General features: G+C 37.2%; 1 protein-coding gene across 11 annotated transcripts in view; it reads left to right on the forward strand.

Annotated features, from left to right (window-relative positions):
• The window catches only part of TMEM200A (transmembrane protein 200A), a 77,537-nt gene extending 56,591 nt beyond the window's left edge, over positions 1-20,946 (forward strand). For 9 of the 11 annotated variants that reach the window (XM_047418151.1, XM_047418155.1, XM_047418152.1 and 6 more), the window contains one exon: positions 18,286-20,946. In XM_047418151.1, coding sequence (XP_047274107.1) covers positions 18,302-19,777 — 1,476 coding nt within the window. In that variant the 5' untranslated portion in view covers positions 18,286-18,301 and the 3' untranslated portion in view covers positions 19,778-20,946. Of the gene's footprint in view, positions 1-14,542; positions 17,358-18,285 lie in introns of those variants that run through there. The other 2 variants (XM_005266816.4, NM_052913.3) reach the window with 2 other exon arrangements.
• The last annotated feature ends 807 nt before the right edge of the window (positions 20,947-21,753 follow it).

The raw sequence follows: 21,753 nt of genomic DNA on the forward strand, positions 1-21,753 counted from the left end.
GGAACCTTCATACTTTTTAATAATGGCTGTACTAATGTACATCCCTACAGTGTACAAGGGTTCCCTTTTCTCCATATCCTTGCCAGCACTTATCTTTTGTCTTTTTGGTAATAACCTTCCTGAAAGGTGTGAGGAGATATCTCATTATAGTTTTTTATTTTTTTTAAGATGGAGTGTCACTCTGTTGCCCAAGCTGGAAGGTAGTGGTGCGATATCGACTCACTGCAACTTCCGCCTCCGGGGTTCAAGTGATTCTACTGCATCAGCCTCCTAAGCAGCTGGGACTAAAAATGCATGCCACCACACCCAGCTAATTTTTGTATTTTTAGTAGAGGGGGTTTCACCATGTTGGCCAGGCTGGTCTTGAACTCCCTACCTCAAGTGATCTGCCTGCCTCGGCCTCCCAAAGTGCTAGGATTACAGGCATGAGCCACCACACACAGCCTTATTGTACTTTTTAATGTTGCTTTTGAACTGTTGAAATGATCCTAATTATTTCTCCTTGGGATATCATAATACTCGTGTCTTTTATGTGTCTTCCTGAATGTTGTTTTGATTGTTACGGACTGCAAATTCCAAAACATGGGAACTGTTTTGTACCAGAAGGCCTTAGAGAGGGTTTCCCACTCAGCATTTAATGCAAGTTGCATATGGCCAAAATAGTGAAGGCATTTGGACCCTTTCAACCAACTATTTAAAAAACTTATATGAGTGTTCTTATTATATTTCTGGTATCTTGCTAGTTAGCCAGTTGGCATTTTTGAAATCATTAAAGAGAAGTATTGTAGAAGATAAGATTAATGTATCTATAATTTTGACATGGAATTTTATCATTTAGTTGACTAAGCTAGAAATTCATAGTTGTAGCTCTCAAATTGAACTTGGCATAACAACAAAGTAATTTGACTTTTTAGAATAAAGATGTATGTGACTTTGAAGAAATGAAAGGCTGTATTTTAAGTGGCCTTCTATCTGGGGTAATACTTAATAGATGAGGAAAATTAAAATTATATTTAGTTAGACCACGGAGTGAGCTCTTTTTCGAATGGCTTATCTGGGTATTTTCTCTATGTATATCTGTTCTCCATGTGCCTCTTGTTACTACAGGGACATTTGTGTTGCTGAGTCAGCAGCTGAATATAGACAGCTGTGTATATTTTGGTATCTATCTATTATTCCAGCCATGTGTACATGTGAAAAAGTCTCAAATAAATGAGATCGCTTACCACATTGTCTTTATGTTCACTTAACATATTTACTGAACATTTCTTCCTGTCACTAAATGATTTCTTACATTTAAATGATTACATAGAATTCCTTTATTTGAATACACCCTAATTAGTTGGAAAATCGTTGCTTTAAAATAATTGAAAGAAAAAAAGTACATGTTGCCGAATTACCCCCTAGAAAGGGAGAAAAATATACATACAAATGTTGCTAACAAAAAACCTTTTGTTAATATTTCCATGTGATACTTTAGGAAGAAAATGAAATTTTAAACCTGCTTAGGTTTAAAAACATCTGTCAGTTTGGGGTGATAGGGGTCATTTTTTAGTATTCTCTTAGCTTTGGAGACAGATGATCCAATCTATAGCAATAAAGAGAAAAAACACCAGAAATTATGCCTCCAAATAATAAGATACATAAGAAACTAAACAGATTAAATGTTGCCACCATTACATGCTATTTGGAATGTTTGAGCTTGATTTACGCATTAGGTGGTATGTGTTTGTTTTCGCTTCTGTTTTGAGCTATTTGAATACTTCTCACATACAGTTTTGATAATTTCTTATAGAAGTGAGTTCCTATAAAGGTTATAAGTTGAACTTATTTGGTCCTCACCAACAGTTGCAAGTTATCAAAGACAGGGCACTGTGCTATGCAATTCAGAGACCCATTTGATTTCTTTAAATAACATATTTTTAAAATTTTTTCTTTAGCATATTTTTTCTAACTGCATTCTAAATTCATAAAGTCTTCTTTCTTTCTCATCTGTTTTCTCCAAAAATGTTCAATTATGCTTCCTTCTCCTAATCCTTTTTCTGTTAATTAATTTGTGGCATTATGAAGGGGAAATTGTGTGTTCTTTAAGCTAAACGGATCTGAATTTGAAAGCTTTCCTTCTGCTTCCTGGCTGTGTGACATTGAACAAATTACAGACGTTTTCTGAGCCTCAATGAAATGGAGCAATTTTTCCTCCTGCATTTTTCTGAAACTAAATACAATAATATATATTGAGTTGCTAAAAACTAAAATCAGGACTCAATAAATGCTAGTTCTCTTCTCATTTCTGATTTTCACTCTTTCTTCTCATTTTTCATACTTTCCCCCAAAGTCTCCAGATGAATAATTTAAAACTTCTTGGCAGTTCTTTTGGGAAAGATTTAGGATAAAACTTTTTTCTTTCTTTTTTTCTGGAGTTAATCATTATTAAAAAGTCACCATTTAACTAATATTTACTTTGATCTAAGTAAGGCTGTAGACCTTAGTTAACTTTATTTAATTTCAATTTGAATGAGTCCTGAGATCACCTTTTAAGCAGTAGATAGTCCCCACATTATGGGAAGAAATTGTTATCCCTGGATCACCAAGGATGGGTGGGGGAGCCATGATGGTGACTGGTGTCTTCATCAAGTAAAACCTAGAGATGTTACCAGTGAATTCTGTCTTTTGCTTGGGAGTTGCTGATAGAAGGTTATGCTTCTTAAGCCTAAACCCCAGCCAGTCTGAATGCATGCAAATCAATTCATGCTATGCTAGTAGCTGTCTTCCCTTGATTTTCCCGGCTGGGAATTCCTCTCTGCCTCTCTGCTTTTCCTCCTCCTTTCTTTGAAAACAGCTTGAAGGTCACCTTCTTTGTGAAACCTCTCTTGCTCTCTCCCTCCCTCTTACTCCATCCCCAGAGTTCTTTTTCTGACCGTTCTCTGTGCCCCATGAATACTGCCATCCTTGTGCCTAGTAATACTTGCTCATCTCCCTGCTTCTAGGCCCTCAGCCCAGTAAGAGCACAGACGATGTTGGATTCAGTGACAGATTCTGGTCACTACTCATGGCAGTGCTCAGCAAGTATCTATTGAATATTTCTGCAGAAATCAATGTTAAACATCACAAGAGTTTAAAAGTCATGGTTCCCTTGGATAAAGGAGCATAGAAGTTTGAAGTTATAATTGGTCTGGATTGAAAACAATATAAGCAGAGCTAAATAAAGTTGAGTTGGAGTCTGCTTTCTAATTATACTAAACTAGAAATTTGAACCAATTATCAACATCGTTCTGGAAGAATTAAGAATGCTATTTGATTTACCTAATTACTTGATTTCATTATCTTATTCAGATTTAGGAAGAAAGGAGAGTCCTCTTCATCACTCAAAAAGTAATATAAAAATAATCCAGACACACCATAAATATATTAAAGCAAAGGATATTGAAGCCTGAGAAAGCTGAGCAATTACTTCAGTTCTCTACAGCATTTTCATTTTGAAGACACAGCCAGTTCGGAAGTAATATAGTGGCTGCAAAAATTGTATAGTCAGAACTTGAGTTGGAAGAGCTGCTAAAACAGCCACTTACATACCAATTACATATCCTCTTGGACCTTAGCTCATCTGTCTAAGGGGCTGTTGATAACTACTTTTCAGGGTTGTTATGAGGATTAAGTGAGCCAGTATGTGAATAAGCCAACAAACATTCCATTAATCTCCAAAAGACTACAAATAAATCTATGGTTTTACATGAAAGTACAGCAAAGCTAAAAAATAGTGTGTTACAGTAAGTTATGTTTGTCTATGGATCTGATACCATTGAGGATCAAGAAATGTAAACAAATGCTAATTATTTATTTAGAAAGCATACACATATCAAAAACTCATAACACTATTAGTATTTGATTTTGATGAAAAAAAATCAAGAAAACTGCGGTTGAAGTAACTTGAATGTAGGGGACTGCTCTCCCTTGTCATAAACTCATTTTAAATAAGCCCCAGGGATTGTAATGCTTTGAAGAAAAGTCAAATGTAAATATTCCTTCTGTAGGTTGAGAGTAGACAGGGAAAAGCCACCAGTAGGGTAACCCTTGAGGGCCAGGGACAGTGGCCTCTCACTACCTCGCCCAGCTCCAGCCTTAAGGCCTTGATGAAACAGACCCTCGCCCACTGGGATGACTCATGGTCTCTGTAGAAACAGGACTGTGCAGCACGCAAAAGATGAAACAGGACAAACGGAGGGAGTGGACTAGAGATTTAATTTCAAGGCATGAAAATTAAATAAAATTCAGTCTCGCTTCATCATCTTTATGAGGAGATGAATGTAAATTAGGTTAAGGAGAAGAATCCTTTCTGCAGCCCCCCCCCCCTCAGTTTCCCTTCATCACAAGGCTGAAGATCTCTGTCCAGCCTCTGTGGCTGCCTGCTTTATGAGAGTAATCATTCTGAAGTCGCAGGATATTCTCAGAAAGAAGCCGTTTCCATCTGTGAATCAAAGTTGTAAGGTTAGAGCAAGCAAAGATCACTGATGAGTTGGCATGAAGGTAGGTAGACATAAACACAATGGGGACTGAGCTTTGGGGAAGGAAAGAAAGAAAGCCATGTCCCTTTTGGAGCCCAGGAGGAAGCTATCAATAAGTCGGGATGACCCAGGTGCAGAGAAAGTTCATCGATGCTGATTAAGGCTTACTTCTCATTTGCTTTACAATGCACAGCATTAGGCTTAAACAGATTCTTGAGTATAAACTTCATAAAGGCAGATAACAATTCTAAATTCATCCTCTATTCTACTTTACACCCAGTAGATTCAGGTGTTGTCCAAGTGGGTAGAATTGTTTTCAGTGTTTCAAGATTATAATGTGTCATAAATAAGTCTTTCTTTCCTGAACTTATCATTTAGTCTGGTTTGTGATTTTAGCTATTTTCTAGTTGCTCCAATCCTGCATTTTTGCCTCGAAGGCTACACTCCACCTGCTTTAAATTAGCAAGCGCACCTAATTACTCTAATATGTACCAGACTGGTTTGCCTTTTACTCTTATGTTCCAGGCTTCAACATCCTTTTTTGCTCTGTACTTAGAGTTCCATATTGGAAATGAGATAAAAGCAGTACATGTTCCTTGCATAGGTCAATAATACAGTTACATATAAGTGAGAGTTCTGTTACGTGTCACCAACAACATTCTGTATGTTTGCCATGAACAGAATTCTAACTATTTCTGCTCTAGAAACTCAGAAATATCATGTGAACATTTTTCATTTTAGTATATATTAATCCTTTTAAATATCTGTATAATATTCCATTATATGGAGGCAGCATGATTGATTTAACCAATTTTCTGTTGCTGAGCATTTGTTTCCAAGTTGTTGCCATTACTATCGTGCTGCAGTGAACATCCTTATACATAGTTTCATGTATTCTTGGGCAAATCTTTTGAAAGAATTCATAGAAGGGAAATTGGCAGTCAGCAGGCAGGGGGTGGCAAAGGGAATGGACATTTCGATTTTTGAAAGTCTTTCTCATGTTACCCTCAAGAAAAGTACCCATTTGTCCTCTCATTGACAGCTTATTAGACCTTCTTCCCTTATACCTCACCAATAATGGTCATAATCAATCTTTTTGTCTTTTTTTTTTTCATTTTTGCCAATTACTAGTGAAGTTAATATTTTTACTTTTGAGATTACCTTAGTTTGCATTTCTTTGCTCATTCTTCTTTTCATTTGTTAACAGAACATTTCTGTTTTTTTCTTCTGTGAATCAACTATCAAAGTTTTCTACCCACTTTTCTCTTGGCTTGCTATCTCTAACAGGACATTGCAGAGGAAACAAACCATTATAAAGTGTAGAAGATACTTGAAGCTAAAAATATCTGAGGCATGATTCCAAATTACACTATCCTTGTAGAAAGTGGTAGGGTGTATGTATGGTGTTTTTACAAACATGGTTTTATCCTGTTATTGTTATCTTAGGCGTCCCTTGAACTCATTTTTACTGCTAGGCATTCTTTCTGATTTTTGTTATATTCCTGACATCTTAGGCAATTAATCATTCTTCTCAATTTTTTCCTTTCAGCTCATATATTCGGTAGATAATTCAGCAATCTCAAAAATCCCAGGCAGAAAATTTCTGTCCTTAGATACATGTGTTTTTTCAAAGAAGAGGTTGTTTTTAACAAGTAAGGACATTTAAAAAGGTATATGGGAATTCTTATTCATGCTTTCAGATATTTAATATTGTCATTAATCCATAATTTTCTTCCCCAATACAACTTTCTCCTTCTCTTCCTATACTTTATCCTCCACCTTTTCCTTTTTTCTTTATCCTCCACCTTTTTTCTTTCTTTCTTTTGCCCTTTCTCTGCTCCTTCATTTCACTTTCTCTGTTTTACTCTCTAGTAGAGAGCTTTCTCTCTGACAGCAACTCTGAACCAATTAATTTTGTCTCCTGGAATTCTAGGTGAAAACTCTTAATAAAGCAGGCACTGATTGATTGATACTTCAGTGGTGAAACAATAGGTGTGCCCATTAAATTCAGGAGCGAAGCCAGGATGTACACCTTCATCCCAGTTGTGTTTACCTTTGCTCTGGAGGCACTAAGTGATACAGTTAGAAAATAGCAATTGTAGGTTTTAAAATTAGGAAAAGGAAGGCAAACAATACTATGTCAAGATGATATAATTGTATTTCTAGAACACGTGAGAGAATGAACTGGAAACTGTTTTTCTTAAACAGCTAGCAAGTTTAATAATGTGGTTTAGTACAAAATCAATGCACAAAAATCAGTAGCCTTCCTACATTCAAACAACTACTTGAAGATAGAAATGGGAGTAAAAGAAATATACAATACCAATTGTATTGTATACCAATATACAATAGAAACTCAATGACAGAATACCCAGGAAATAAAAAGTAACAAGAAATGAGAAAGGTCTATGTTAAAAAAACTATGGCATAAAACGTATTTTTAGATAAAATGCTACAGCAGTGTAACAACACCGATTTTCCATATATTTATGTATAGATTTAGCATGATTCCATAAAAATTACTAACTGGATTTAAAAAAATCAAATTATAAAGTTCATGTGCAACATAAAATGTGTAAGAACAGACTAGAAACTTTTGACAAAGAAAAATAATGAGGCCAGGAGCAGTGGCTCATGCCTGTAATCCCAGCACTTTGGAAGGCCGAGGTGGGCGGATCACCTGAGGTCAGGAGTTCGAGATCAGCCTGGCCAACATGGTGAAACCCCATCTCTACTAAAAATACAAAAATTAGCCAGGCATGGTGTCATGCGCCTGTAATCCCAGCTACTCCAGAGACTGAGGCAGGAGAATCACAGAATGACAACTCTTAATATTGACCCAAATACATACTGGATTTGGTATATAGTACAAATATATGAAATTGATATGTAATATAGGTGGTAGTATTTCAAACCAAGGGAAGAGAGATTGTTTACCTGTAAACAATAGTTAGATCCCTGCCTGATTCTTACACAAAAAGAAATCCCAGATGCATCAGAAAATTTGAATGCAAGGAATTAAACCATAAAATTACCGGAAAGAAACATGGGAGAATGTTTTAAATATAATCTTAGATTGCAGAAGGTCTTTTTAATGATGACTTGAAACCATCCATGAACATACTGATAGGTTTAACCATATACAATTGAAATTTTCTGTATGCTAAAAGATACAATCAAATAAAGTAAAAATGTAAATTAAACATGCTTCTCACACATATTACAACCAGAAACCTGATTTCCTCAATACGTAAAAAAAACGTGTATAAATCAGTTCTAGAAAACCAAATGAGAAAACATTCTTCTCTGGATATAGCTATAAGAAATCCAACACCATGCTTACATTGGGGAAGGAGAACCAGAGGCTGAAGCGACTCCCTCTTCATTTTGTACTGCTGGGTTTTTACCATGAGCATGTGGAGTGTCCTACTTTGTTCTGGCTGCTATAACAAAAATATCATAGACTACATGGCTTATAAACAACAGAAACTTATTTATCACAGTTCTGAAAGCTGGGAAGTCCAAGATACCAGCAGATTCAGTATCTAGTGTGGACCCACTACCTGGTTTATAAATACTGTCTTCTTACTGTGTCCTCACATGGTAGAAGGGGGAAGGGAGCTCTCTAGGATTCCACTTATATTAATCCCATCATGGACTCTACCCTCAGGATCTAATCACCCCCAAAGGCTCCGTCTCCTAATACCACCACCTTGGGGGCTAGGATTTCAACATAGGAATTTTGGAGAGGCATATTCAGCCTATAGCAAGTAGTTTCCAAAGAGAAATAGATGAAAGAAAAACAGACCGAGAAATACATTTTAAAAATTGAAAATCTATGTTTTCTTGAATTCATCTTGCTGCCACTAACCTGCACAAGTAGGAGAAGAGAGGGAAAAAGATGAAAACAGAAATAGTCCAGAAATAGTCGCAGCCTTCTCCACCATCTTCCTTTTTTTTCTAATACGTTTACCATTAAGGTTTCATCCATGGGGTTTCTCTGAAAAACCCCTGGATGTCCCTTAAATGCTAAAAGAATTTTGCATTTACAAGTGGAATAGATCATTCTTTCTGTGAGTGGTGGGAAGTTTGGTCTTGCCATCCCCAAGGAAGTCTCCCTTCACACCTGTTTCTACCTTGCTTTAAGGATGATCCTACTTAGATTTTACTTATGAAAAATATGTAAAATTCTCTAGCAGAAATGATGTAATTTGAACAATTTTCTAATGTTTGTATAGAATTTTAAGAACGCTTTACTATTAATTGAGCTACCATCAATTGGAAAACTTCTTAAGAAATTTAATGTACAGTATATTAGTCTGTGGCTTAAAAGATGGCACAACTCACTGTTCATTTAGATGGTGATTCTATCTTGGTGAGAGATGGCTCCTTATTTAGAGCAGTTAAGAATGTAAGACCTTTAGTAGCCTTAACAATACGGACACGACTGTGTTACTTGCCAAAGTGTAGACTTATGTATATAAGATATTTAATAGTACATGGAACGACTAGAATTGAAATTGCTATTGTCCTCCAGCTTTCCCCTTGCCCTGTAGGAAAGCCAACAGTGTGTGGGAATTTACAGGTATCTAAAATCACCGGAAATGATATTAATACTTAGTAGAGTCTCATTATTCAATGGTGTCTCCAAAAACATAGCCACTATCTTGTAAGTGAAGTTACTATATGTTTTCCAGCAGTGGAGGGGTCTCTATAAAAAGTCCAATTTGTGATTTTAAATGCTTCAGTTCTTCATCCAGGAATATCTTGGCTAATTTCCCGTGTCTTAGTAAATTGGTGACATTTTTAGTGATAGTTTCTTTACACCAGTTTCAAGTCACCTTCCTGTCAGGAAATGCAGAGAATGGGGAGTGTGACAGTGATTGTGTAAGAGCTTGTCCAGATTTGAGGAGTTGGGATGTGGGGTGGAAAGCATATTTCTACTTTGAGGGAAATGGCCTTCTAATTTCTTCTGTTCCTGCAGAAAATATCTCCCACAGGGTCTCAGCAGGGTGTTTTCTGAGCTCATTATGGATCTGTTACTTGGCCTCCTGGAGACTTCTGTATTCTACGGGCTTCTGGCTTTTAGTCTTTGGAGAGCACTTGTTCTATGTCATTGTTACGCAGCTCATAATTGGTGTGGGCCCATATTTTACAGTTTGTCAGGCTGGCAGGTTTTGAAGGCATTACTAACAGAACAGGTGTAGATTTCTAAGGGCAGTCTCGTCTCTATTCCTAGCGTTTTCTGCAGGCTCAAGATGTACTTGACCATAAAGTAATATTTTACATTTAATGACTTGAATATCATTTTGCAAATTTTCTAAACATTTTGTACTTCCTTTTAGTTCCAGCATTCAAGTGAATGTAGAACTATACTGAATATTGAGAAACAATTCTCCCCAAGGTAGACCAGCAAAGATCTTCAGAATGTGTCCATAAAATCATAGCTTAAACTTGCCACAGAATTAACATTTTGCAGATTTTCACATTATATCACTCTTATGGCATCTTCTGTACTCCCCATATGCCCAGGCACCATGTTCCTCTGCATTTTCAGTTAGTTTTATGCTTGGGTGTCCCAATGGAAACAGAATAGTGCGTGCAGAATTGATCAGATTACTCATTCATTCGATCCAATTGCATCACGAAGTTAACTAAAAACATCAGATGAACGGGTTTAGGTTTTCCTACCTTGTTTTTCTTATTGCTTTTATGTTTGTCACAAGACAGGTCTCCGAATCTGAAGAAATAGAATGAATTTAAAAGAAAGGCGTGCTTTATTCTTTCTGTATCTCCCAACTGTCTCTTACATAAATTCAGCTGTTCTTTTTAACTTCCAAATTGTTAATGCTTTTGCCACTAAAATATACAGATTCCATTCAGATAGTTTTTGACTCTTAAGTCTCAGAACAAACTTGCAGTCATAACTACCTCTCCATGGACAGAAAGTCATCATTAATTACTTAGTATATTTTTAATTTGCCTAGCAGAGCAGTAAAAGAACAATGTGAGCTATGAAGAGTTAGTAATAGCTATTGTTTGAGAACTTCTTATAATCAACACAAAAGTAAGCATTATATACATAACTTATCTTTGAAAATTCCTTGTAGTCAGACCCAGCTGATATCACTAATATCACTCACGTAGACCTTAATTGCCAGAACTGAACTGTGCTTTGCATTTATTATCCCCTCTTCACAACAATCCTACAGGTACTGTTACTATACCCATTTTACAAATGAAGGAACTGGGGCTCCAAGAGGTTGATTCATTGTTCAAATGTGGTTATTAAGTATTAAGGGCTGTGTAGGGATTCAAGCCTGCTAGGTCTTCTGCCTCAAGTGCACCATATACTGTGTATCAAAGAAGGCTTTGCCATTTTATAGATGGAGGAACTGAGATAAGAAAAGCCACTTGCATGGCATCAAATGAGGAAGCAAAGACATGGGCCCCTGTCTCTCTGATTCCAGTGGCCACGTGAAAAACAATTATGCTACATGCTAAAAGATGATCTTTTTTTTTTTTTTTTTGAGACGGAGTTTCGCTCTTGTTGCCCAGGCTGGAGTGCAGTGGCAAGATCTCGGCTCACTGCTATCTCCACCTCTCAGGTTCAAGCGATTCTCCTGCCTCAGCCTCCTGAGTAGCTGGGATTACAGATGCCCACCACCATGCCCAACTAATTTTTTGTATCTTTAGTAGAGACAGGGTTTCACCGTGTTGGCCAGGCTGGTCTTGAACTCCTGACCTCAGGTGATCCGCCTGCCTCGGCCTCCCAAAGTTTTGGGATTACAGGCATGAGCCACCACGCCCAGCCAAAAATGATTTTTATTCTATTTTTATTTTTTAAACTTTATGTGATTGAACTCTTAGTCACCCATATGAATTTTCTTTTTTCAATTCTGGTAAAGATATAGATTAAAAATCCTATTCTAAAAGTTTGAAATGTCTCAACCAGGAAGAAAGTCCTAAAATTGTTCTAGCTTGAACAGAAAATATTTCCATCTGTCACATTTGTGGATACCACATGGGGTTTTTATATAATGTTTTTGTTTGGTACTCAAGGCATAGATTAATTTTTACTTCCTTTGGGCAGACAGCCTCACATTCTGGTGAATTTTTAAACCTCCAGATAAAGATAAAAATTCAAACATATAAATAAGACAGTATCAAATATATTTAAAATAATAGTCACACTTCAACTAGGAAGATGATGAAAAATCAGAGGGCAGGGACCCTTATGCAATAGTCAGGAACAAGGATGAATTAGAATCTATCTGCATGGCATACCCTCATTTATGTGCCAAGCCTTCGTTAACTGCCACCACTTCTTGGAAGCCTGTCCTGACTCCTTCAGATAGTATGGAAGAGCATTCTGCAATGCTCCTGTAGCTCCATCATAGCAATTCTTTTATTTTAAATGTTTATTTCTACTGTTTTCCTACTGGACTCCATACTCCTTGAAATCAGGGATGAGGTTTTATTAACTTTGTGTCCCTAGTGCCTAGAACATTTCAACCATACTCAAACCTTCATCAACTCAGTTCACAGTCAACAGATACTTACTGAGCATTTAGTATATGCCAGGCACTCTGCCAAGGCACTGGGACAGCATGAAAAAACAATAGAAAAGGGAATATATAAACAAGAGTGAACACTGGACTGGGAGTCTGAAAACTTGTATTCCAGTTCTATTCTGTCTGCTAATTCAGTGTTTGATCTTCAGTAACATTCCTGGCCTTTAGATGGCTAAAAGGAATGGCTGGATCCAAAGATGTCTAAAGTCTCTCAGCTCTGGAAGTCTATGTAATTATAATTATCTCAAATATAATTGAACCATGTCTAATGTATTATAGGCTCACAGTGTGGTCAGAATAGTGTGATGTAAATATATAGGAATAAACTTCTGTGAGTGTGAGAATACTAAAAACTGGTATGGATTAGTGCCATAAGAAGCAAATACCAGAATGTGCTTAAGCTTGTAAAAAGGGTAAAGGACAGCAATAAGGCTTTTAAGATTAGTATGAGAACAAAAATAGGAGAGGTAAGCCTGAAGATTAGAACGGACGGTATGTGGTATAGTATTACACATGACTCACAAAGCAGAAATCTTCTCTTCAAGAAGAGCTTTTGTCTGCAAAGGCAAATGGTTCAAAGGGAAGTGAACCCAAGAGAGGCAAGCAGACAGTGGGCTTGAGTGCGGGCAAGAGTACATCTCTCTGTAGTGAGAAAGGTGGAAAATAAGATTTTCTACAGATGATCTCCAAGACCCACAATGAATCTCAGATTTATGTAAGATGGGAAAGGCCTGGAGATAGCCCAACAGTATCCTAGTTTGCAAAGTAAAAGAAGGTGTGTTTTGTGAATTTCAAGCTGGTAATCTTGATGTCTATTGCTTAGCAAAATTGTGGCTGGTTTGTGAGCACTGGGAATGAAAAAAAAAAAAAAGATGATCAATATGTAGCCAAAAGTTAGCCCAAACTAATTTTGTATTTTTGGTTGTCTGCAGGTATATACATATTTGTCTCTTTTTTTTTCTTCAAATTAAGAGACAAGGTCTTAATGTGTTGCCCAGGATGGTCTCGAATTCCTGGGCTTAAGCAATTCACCCGCCTTGGCCTTCGGAAGTTGCTAGGATTACAGATGTGAGCCATCGCACCCAGCCCATATTTGTCTTTTAACTTGGCCTTTGACAAAATCATGATCTCTTTTTGAAGAATATGGAAACATTAAGTGTGGCTGGCCTTCTAGTTAGATTTATTTATAACCAGTTAAATGATGTCATCAAAATGATGGTTGCTGATCAATATAGTCTCAGGCCAGGAAACATATTTTGAGCCCAGTGTCTACTTCAATGCCAGGTGTCCATTTTTATTGCAATTACATGAATATCTAAACAAATTAACAATGTGTACCTAGAAAGAGGTCTGTAGTGGAATATCACAGAGCTTTCTTTGCTCTATACTTTCTTCAATTACGATTTCCAAACACTTGGGTGAAGCTTTGGAAGTCAGATTTATAATATTTGCAAATGAACATAAACTGAGAGGGACAACAGGATTTTGGAAGCCAGGCTTAGGATCCAAAGAGACTGATAAGCAGAAATTTTGTTCCCAAGTTAACAAAATGAAATTCAGTGTAGTAAAATCCTTCACTTGAATCTTTGAGGGAATAAGTCACGGCCCTGCCCTGTCAGGCATGCTGGAGAGCAAAGAGGAGGATGTGGAGGTAGAAAAGTGGTCTCCTTTGAGTCTGCATCTTCATACACTGAAGGGATATGGACAGGTGCAAGAGGCCAGATACTCACCCAAGGTGAGGCCTTCAAACTTATGTACTCCCCATGGCTTTTCACAGGTAATCATTGAGATTTGGAAAATGGGAGTTGATTGGTCCACAGGCCTAGTTTTAAAGGCAGAGCAGCATTCTTTTGCATTTGGTGTTATGGAAACAGGAATCAGAATAAGAAAAAAGAAAACCTCAAATGAAAGCAAATCTGGAGGCCCCTCCCCATCTCAAATGGGAGGCTCTGGGGTAACCTCCTAGCTGTGTGACTCTAGGCAAGTTACCTAAGCTCTCTTAGCCTCAGTAACCTGAAAAATAGATATTACAATTATTACTCCTCCAGAATTATTGTGAGAACAAATGTTTTTGTACTAAAGCACTTAGAACATTGCCTGACCATAAGCAGTATGGGCTGTTATTACTATTATTATTAAAACTTAGAAGAGTATGGCTTGTTACAGTGAGGAGACTAGTTAACAGGATTCTTACATTTCCCATGCCTTAGAAAAACATGCAAAACAAAACAAAAAAAAACAGTCATAAAAGTGTAGGATGGAGGGCATGTAGCTTTGCAGCATTGACCAAAAAAAAAAAAAAAGGTAGATTTAGGCTGTTTTTGCATATACTGAACACTTTGTACCAATTGGCATTACAGTTTGAAGATGCAGAGCCTGTAGATTCACTCATTCTAGATTTTATAGTTTCACTAGGCTTCGTTTTTCTTTATCCTTTTTTTTTTTTTTTTTTTTTTTTTTTTTTTCAGAGAGACAGGTTCTTGCTCTATCACCCAAGCTGAAGTAGTGGCATGATCATAACTCACTGCAGCCTCCAGCTCCTGGCCTCAATTAATCCTCCTGCCTCAGCCTCCTGAGTAACTGAGACTACAGGCATCTGCCACCATGCCTGGCTAACTTGCTAAAAAAATGTTTTGTAGAGATGGAGTCTTGCTATGTTGCCAGTGCTGGTCTTGAACTGCTGGCCACAAGTGACACTAAAGCCTTGGCCTCCCAAAGCTCTGGAGTTACAGGTGTGAGCCACTGCACCCAGCCTTCACTAGGCTCCTTATTGTGCAACTGCCGTTAGCATCCCCATGCCATTTTCCGGTATTGGTCCCTAATTCCTGCTTTCATCTACAAGTTCAGATTAATTTTTTCTAAAATAACAACAGCAGTATTTATGTCTTACTCCAACTCCATGGCAGATGTGTATAAATTGCAAGCATTTAGGAATAGCATTTGCCAACTCCCAAGACTTGGCTGTCCCTCTCGCTCTGGCCTTACTTACCTAACTGACCTCCTGTAGTACTGAGTTGTGTGCTGGCCAAGTTCCTATTCCTGGACTGCTTTCTTTCCCTTGACCTTCCTTGAAATACTGCTAACCTGACTTTTGACTGTGATCTATGTGCTATCTCCTGTGTGAAGCCTAATGAAAGGTCCTTCTCTAATGGAAACTTTCATTCTAGGAGTTACCTCATTCTGTTTTATGTGGATCTGTTAGCTCCTTCATTAGGTTTCAAGCTGTTTGAAACAGTGATTGAATTTGCTCACCTTTGCTTTCCTCTCAGGGTCTACATTGGGACCCTGAGTGATAATAGAGCCTTCTGTAGTATTGAATTGCTTTAAACAGAATTAAAGGACATTGGCACCAAATGTGATTTTGCCAATCCTTGGGAGTCTTGGTGCCTCTGTCTGGGCTTGACCAGGGTAGAATGGCTGAAGAAAATGTGATTCCTCCACCCATTAAATTCTTTATTTCTCAACTACTCTGGAAGTTTTTGCCTCTTTTTGTTTCTATCCATTTTCATACTTTTAAGATACCCTTTTTTACTTTAAGATACCTTTTTTCTTCCTAACGTTTCTTTACATGCTCACATGCAAGCCCAGTCATCCATCTCTCTTTTTCACCTTTCTGTCCTCATATATTTTTCTTAAAATATCTTTTCTCATCTAATCTCCTTTCCTCTATCAATCAGCCTCCTAAGCGAAAATGGTAGTGCTAATGTTTTAAAAAGTGGGGGAGGACTAGAAATCTGTATGGAATGTAATTCACTTTTATTGCTTTTAAATTAAATGAAACGTTTTTGCCCTTGTTTCCATTCTACTCAGAAGGATTTCAGACTAAATCCTTAAGCCTGCCATATGGAAATAACTGGGCTAGAGGGCTGCTATCTAATCTAAGCATTTAATTCAAACATTTGAAATGGTTTTTGCTTCAAGAAAACATAGGTTGACACTAAGCTTTATTTTAGCAAAGGTTTGGGAAAGGTTCTAATCTGCAGTATGTACACTTTGATAAATTTCATAGACTAGAGCAACAGATTACAATTTAGTTTGTTCTTCCAACATAAAACTATTTTAATCCTAGTTATAATTTCACTGAAGGCTGGATTTACTCACTGGCTTGTTAAAACTGTAGATAACAACCACAAGCCTGTTATTTAAACACAATTCAGAAATCATAAATAGAAATTCAAAAGGAGAGCTCAATGCTGCAAGATGAGATTTGATGCCCTGAAGAAACTCTCTCTGAAATTTGCCAAAGACCTTGTGGAACTTAAAATATCTTCTTGTTTCCTACCAGCTAGATATGGCAGCTTGAGAACTATTTATTATGAATCAAGATAGATATTTTACCAACTCAGAAAATGTTGCTTTTTGTTTGGATATTAATCTTGTTTGTTCATATTTTTAACTAGGAAAGTTAGTACAGTAATATGGTGGTCATCCAACAGACCACAAGAAGAGAATTTGTCCCTCATTCAGCATTTTAGCAAATATTTCTTGAACACTAGCCATGTGCAAGGTATTACAGTGAGTGTTTCTGCTAATAAAAATATGAATTAAATTTGATGTTTGATCATAAGTAGAAGAACTGTGATACTATAATATTGTAAGTGCCATAGAAAACTTGCTATTATAAAATGCTGTAAGGAGTTAATGCTTGCATAGGGTGCAGTGGGTCAGCTAGAGAAGGCTTTATAAAGAAAGTGGAATATGAGCTTTGATGCCTAGCCAGATGTGGGTATGTGAAGAACAGGGCAGGGCAGTGGGGAGTGGGTGGATTCTGGACAGCTGAAACATTGTTAACAAAATCTCAGAAATGGTACAAAATGGAATATGAATGAGAAATACAGAACATTTGTTAGGTTTTATTTTTATGCAAATTAAAGAGAAGAGTTAGAGACAAAGTTAAAGTCAATGGGTCTAGAATTTCAGCTAAAACTTTGGTAGGTAGTGGAGAATATTTTATCATTATTCTGCTCTTTAAACAACTTCAGAGATGATTGATTAATCTTGATTGTAAAGGAAGAGAAATTCTTTGGAAGACCAGTTAGGGGGTTATCATATGGTCTAGTAAAAGTTAATAAGATCTGCACAAGGCTGGGAAGAGTAGGATTAGAACAGAGGGGTGGAATTAAAGGACATCGTATATTGGAAATTTCTAGGATTTAGAACCTGATTGGAAGAGGAAGAAGAAAGGGAGGAGTTAAAAATAACTGTAAAGAGCCAAATCTGAGAACTGACCCTGCTAAAAAAGTCAGACAAGTCAAGTGGTGCAGCTGGTGTGTGCTAGAAGGTAAGTTCAGCTTTACTAGCAGTACATGAATGTGTGTATGTTCCCTAATGGGCAGTGGAAAGTGTGAAATTGAAACTCAGGATATGACCTGAAATATAGACTTGGGACTCATTAGCATCAAGGAAATAGTGAAGATGTAGGAACAGATATGAATGCCAAGGGAGAGTATGGAAGAGAAGATGACCAAGAACAAGACTCTAGGGAGAAGTTCTACTTTTAGGTGAGTCTGTTGAAATAGTCAGTGAGGTCAGAGTAGAAGTAGGAGAACTTAACATCATAAAAGACTGGGGAAGAGAGAGTGTGGAGAAAGGAGGGGCAGTAATATCCATGGAAGCAGAGAGGTAAGGAAGATGAAAATTGAGGGGGAAATTAAATGTGGCAGCTAAGAATTCATTGACGACTTTCACAAGAGAGGTCTTAGAACCATGAATTGCTGGAATGTATCCTCTTTGTCAGTCTGGAGTGTTTGTTTTTGACCTATTAAGTATTCTAGATTTGTCCAATGAATGATTTAAAATAGCACAGATAACTCTGTGTGTGTGTGTGTATGTGTGTGTGTGTGTGAGAGAGAGAGAGAGAAGAGAAAGAGTGAGCATCAGTCTTGTGGCCAGGGGACTATTTTATATTAATAAGTGATAAAATTATTTAAATATTCCTTGAGCTCACATTTAATCAATAACAGAAATGTAACTGAAAAAATAATAGAAATGTTTACTTAGCCAAAAAGGAAATCTCCAGAAATTTACATTAGTCAATAAATAAAATTTGTACCCAAACTATGTCAATTAAAAAAATATTCTGCCCCATTTAATCACATGAAACTGCAACAGCAACAAAAATTCTGTGTAAACAGTTGTTTAATTGAACTGATGCTCATACCCCAGGAACATATTTACATCATCTTTTTCCTTTTTTTTTTCTTCTTCAGAGTAAAAGGCCAAGCTATGATAGCAACTGGTGGAGTGATAACTGGCCTGGCCGCCTTGAAAAGGCAAGACTCTGCCAGATCACAGCAGCATGTCAACCTCAGCCCGTCTCCTGCTACCCAAGAGAAGAAGCCCATCAGGCGCCGGCCCCGGGCAGATGTTGTGGTTGTTCGTGGCAAAATCCGGCTTTATTCCCCATCTGGTTTTTTTCTTATTTTAGGAGTGCTCATCTCCATTATAGGAATTGCTATGGCCGTTCTTGGATATTGGCCCCAAAAAGAACATTTTATTGATGCTGAAACAACACTGTCAACAAATGAAACTCAGGTCATTCGGAATGAAGGCGGTGTGGTGGTTCGCTTCTTTGAGCAGCATTTGCATTCTGATAAGATGAAAATGCTTGGCCCATTCACCATGGGGATTGGCATTTTCATTTTCATTTGTGCTAATGCCATTCTTCATGAAAACCGTGACAAAGAGACCAAAATCATACACATGAGGGATATCTATTCCACAGTCATTGACATTCACACGCTAAGAATCAAGGAGCAAAGGCAAATGAACGGCATGTACACTGGTTTGATGGGAGAAACAGAAGTAAAACAGAATGGGAGCTCCTGTGCCTCGAGATTGGCAGCAAATACGATCGCCTCTTTCTCGGGTTTTCGGAGCAGTTTTCGAATGGACAGCTCCGTGGAGGAGGATGAACTTATGTTAAATGAAGGTAAGAGTTCTGGGCATCTTATGCCCCCTTTGCTCTCTGACAGCTCTGTGTCTGTCTTTGGCCTCTATCCACCTCCTTCCAAGACAACTGATGATAAGACCAGCGGCTCTAAGAAATGTGAAACCAAGTCAATTGTGTCATCGTCCATCAGTGCTTTTACATTGCCTGTGATCAAACTTAATAACTGTGTTATTGATGAGCCCAGTATAGATAACATCACTGAAGATGCTGACAACCTCAAAAGTAGGTCAAGGAATTTGTCAATGGATTCCCTTGTGGTTCCTTTGCCCAACACCAGTGAATCCTTCCAGCCCGTCAGCACAGTGCTACCAAGGAATAATTCCATTGGGGAGTCGTTGTCGAGTCAGTACAAGTCATCTATGGCTCTCGGACCTGGGGCTGGACAGCTCTTGTCTCCTGGGGCTGCCAGAAGACAGTTTGGGTCCAATACATCCTTGCATTTGCTCTCGTCACACTCAAAGTCCTTGGACTTAGACCGGGGTCCCTCCACTCTAACTGTTCAGGCAGAACAACGGAAACATCCAAGTTGGCCTAGGTTGGATCGGAACAACAGCAAGGGATATATGAAACTAGAGAACAAAGAAGACCCGATGGATAGGTTGCTTGTGCCCCAAGTTGCCATCAAAAAGGACTTTACCAATAAGGAGAAGCTTCTTATGATTTCAAGATCTCACAATAATTTGAGTTTTGAACATGATGAGTTTTTGAGTAACAACCTAAAGAGGGGAACTTCTGAAACAAGGTTTTAATGTTAAAAGAATATATCATTTTACAAGGGTATATATTTTAAAACGATTTTCACTGGTGTTTCCTTCTTAAAGTATTGGCTGTAAGCCTTTTTAATCAAATGGTTTGTAGTGTATTAGAATTGGCTGCTTAGTTCTGTAATGAAGATGGTTGTATGTTTGGGTTACTTGTGACTGCAGTACTCTATGTTACCACACATGATTTTATTTTTCTCTTCCTTTGAAAGCATGATCTCTTTTATTAATATGAATGCAAAATGCTTGCATCCAAATTAAAGCTTATTTTCTTTACTTTTAAGTTCTTTGATTGCCCTATTCATAAAATGAAATGTCCAGTATGGAAAACATAGGGTACCAAAGTGTGGACCAGGAGTACAAATTCAGTCCCAATACTCAATACGTATTATAGATGACTATGAGTGCAAACCTTAGGATGTGATTTTCTGAATAATTGTTCTTTGTAGGATTTGGTTACATTATTTAAAATGAAAAAGATCTAGTTTTAGTGTGAGCTCAGTAATGTTAATTGGTTAAGTTCATTGTGAATCTTGAGTTTTAGATAAGTAGTTATTTTTTTCAATATCACTTCTGTTTTTAGTGATATTATATCAAGAAACAACGTATTCAAGAGCCATGGCTGACAGTGCCAGATATACTTAGGGATAAACATCAAAATGCAATTATAGTTGCTATAACGTTAGATACTCGGAATCAAAATTTATTTGCAAGCTGACTTGATAAACTAAATGAACCAATAAAATTTGTAGAAATGCTATCCTGAAATAATTATATACATGAAGACAATGTTGACTAATGAATTAAGATACATTATATACTAGTTAATGCTAACTAGTCTCAGTACCTGTTTTTAGCCATCTGTTACTGTCCAATAGCACCTCATTCCCACATTCTATTTTCCCCCGGTATTCTTTAGATCCTAGTATTTGGAAAACAATCGGCTAACCTTGACATTTCTTTTTACCTTCATATGCCACTATCTCGGTAGTTCAAAAAAATTTAGTTCTTGATAAATTGCCTTGAAGTTTACCTTGTGCTGGAGAGCCTTATGATAACTCCAAAGACTTTCTTACGGTATAATACATGTTGTTTAGGATTGTGTTTCTTAGTCACTGAAGATAATAAATATTAAAATGGATGTTTTCATCAGAAAATTTTCATGTTTTCCTTTAAGGTAACATAATTGTAAGAATTGTTTAATAAAATACTCAGGAAATTCTAAAGGTTTCTCCCAATACCTAAACATTTCTGAACATCAGTATTGCAGTTGTGGAAGAGCAGAAGGAGGATACATTTGTTTGTGTTGCTCCCCAAAATTCCACCTTGCATTTGCATCACAAACTTCCCTCAATTGAGGCAGTTTTCTTTGTTAGAACATTAAGTCTGTGTATTGTAATAGAGTGGGCTCAATATTTTACTATAAAGCATTTAATAAACTGTTATTAATAGAAGTTTGTGTTCTTCACACCTTTGCTATTGCTTTTTAAATAAAATGTACATTTCTGCTTAAAGTACTGTTTTTCACACTTTCAGATATATTCTACTGAGGGCACTTGATACCCTAGTACATGTACTGAGTATCTCGGCTTTTAAATTTTGCTTCTATTCGGTTAAAGAGCTAGGTCTATCCACCTATTTAATTAGACTGTTTTTAAATTTTCTTATCTTGGGATCGTTTTCACTTAAAGTTTCATTGACTCTCAGGAAAATAACCAAATACAGCAAAAGTCAGCGGCACTCAGATTTGAAAACAGTGGCTGTCAACACCCCTGATGTGACAGATGACTGGAGCCATATAATTTGTTCAGTTCATCCCTGAAAGAGCTCTAGAAATTTGAAGAGGATTAAACAGCATGGGTCTTAGATGATCCAAATAAAGGAATTGGGGGCTTAAAGTAGTGGTTCCTGCTCAATCTTCTCTTCATCAAAAAGCCTGAGTTTTTTACTTATCAAGCAAATCA

Source organism: Homo sapiens, chromosome 6 (assembly GCF_000001405.40).
Source record: "Homo sapiens chromosome 6, GRCh38.p14 Primary Assembly".
NCBI lineage: Eukaryota > Metazoa > Chordata > Mammalia > Primates > Hominidae > Homo > Homo sapiens.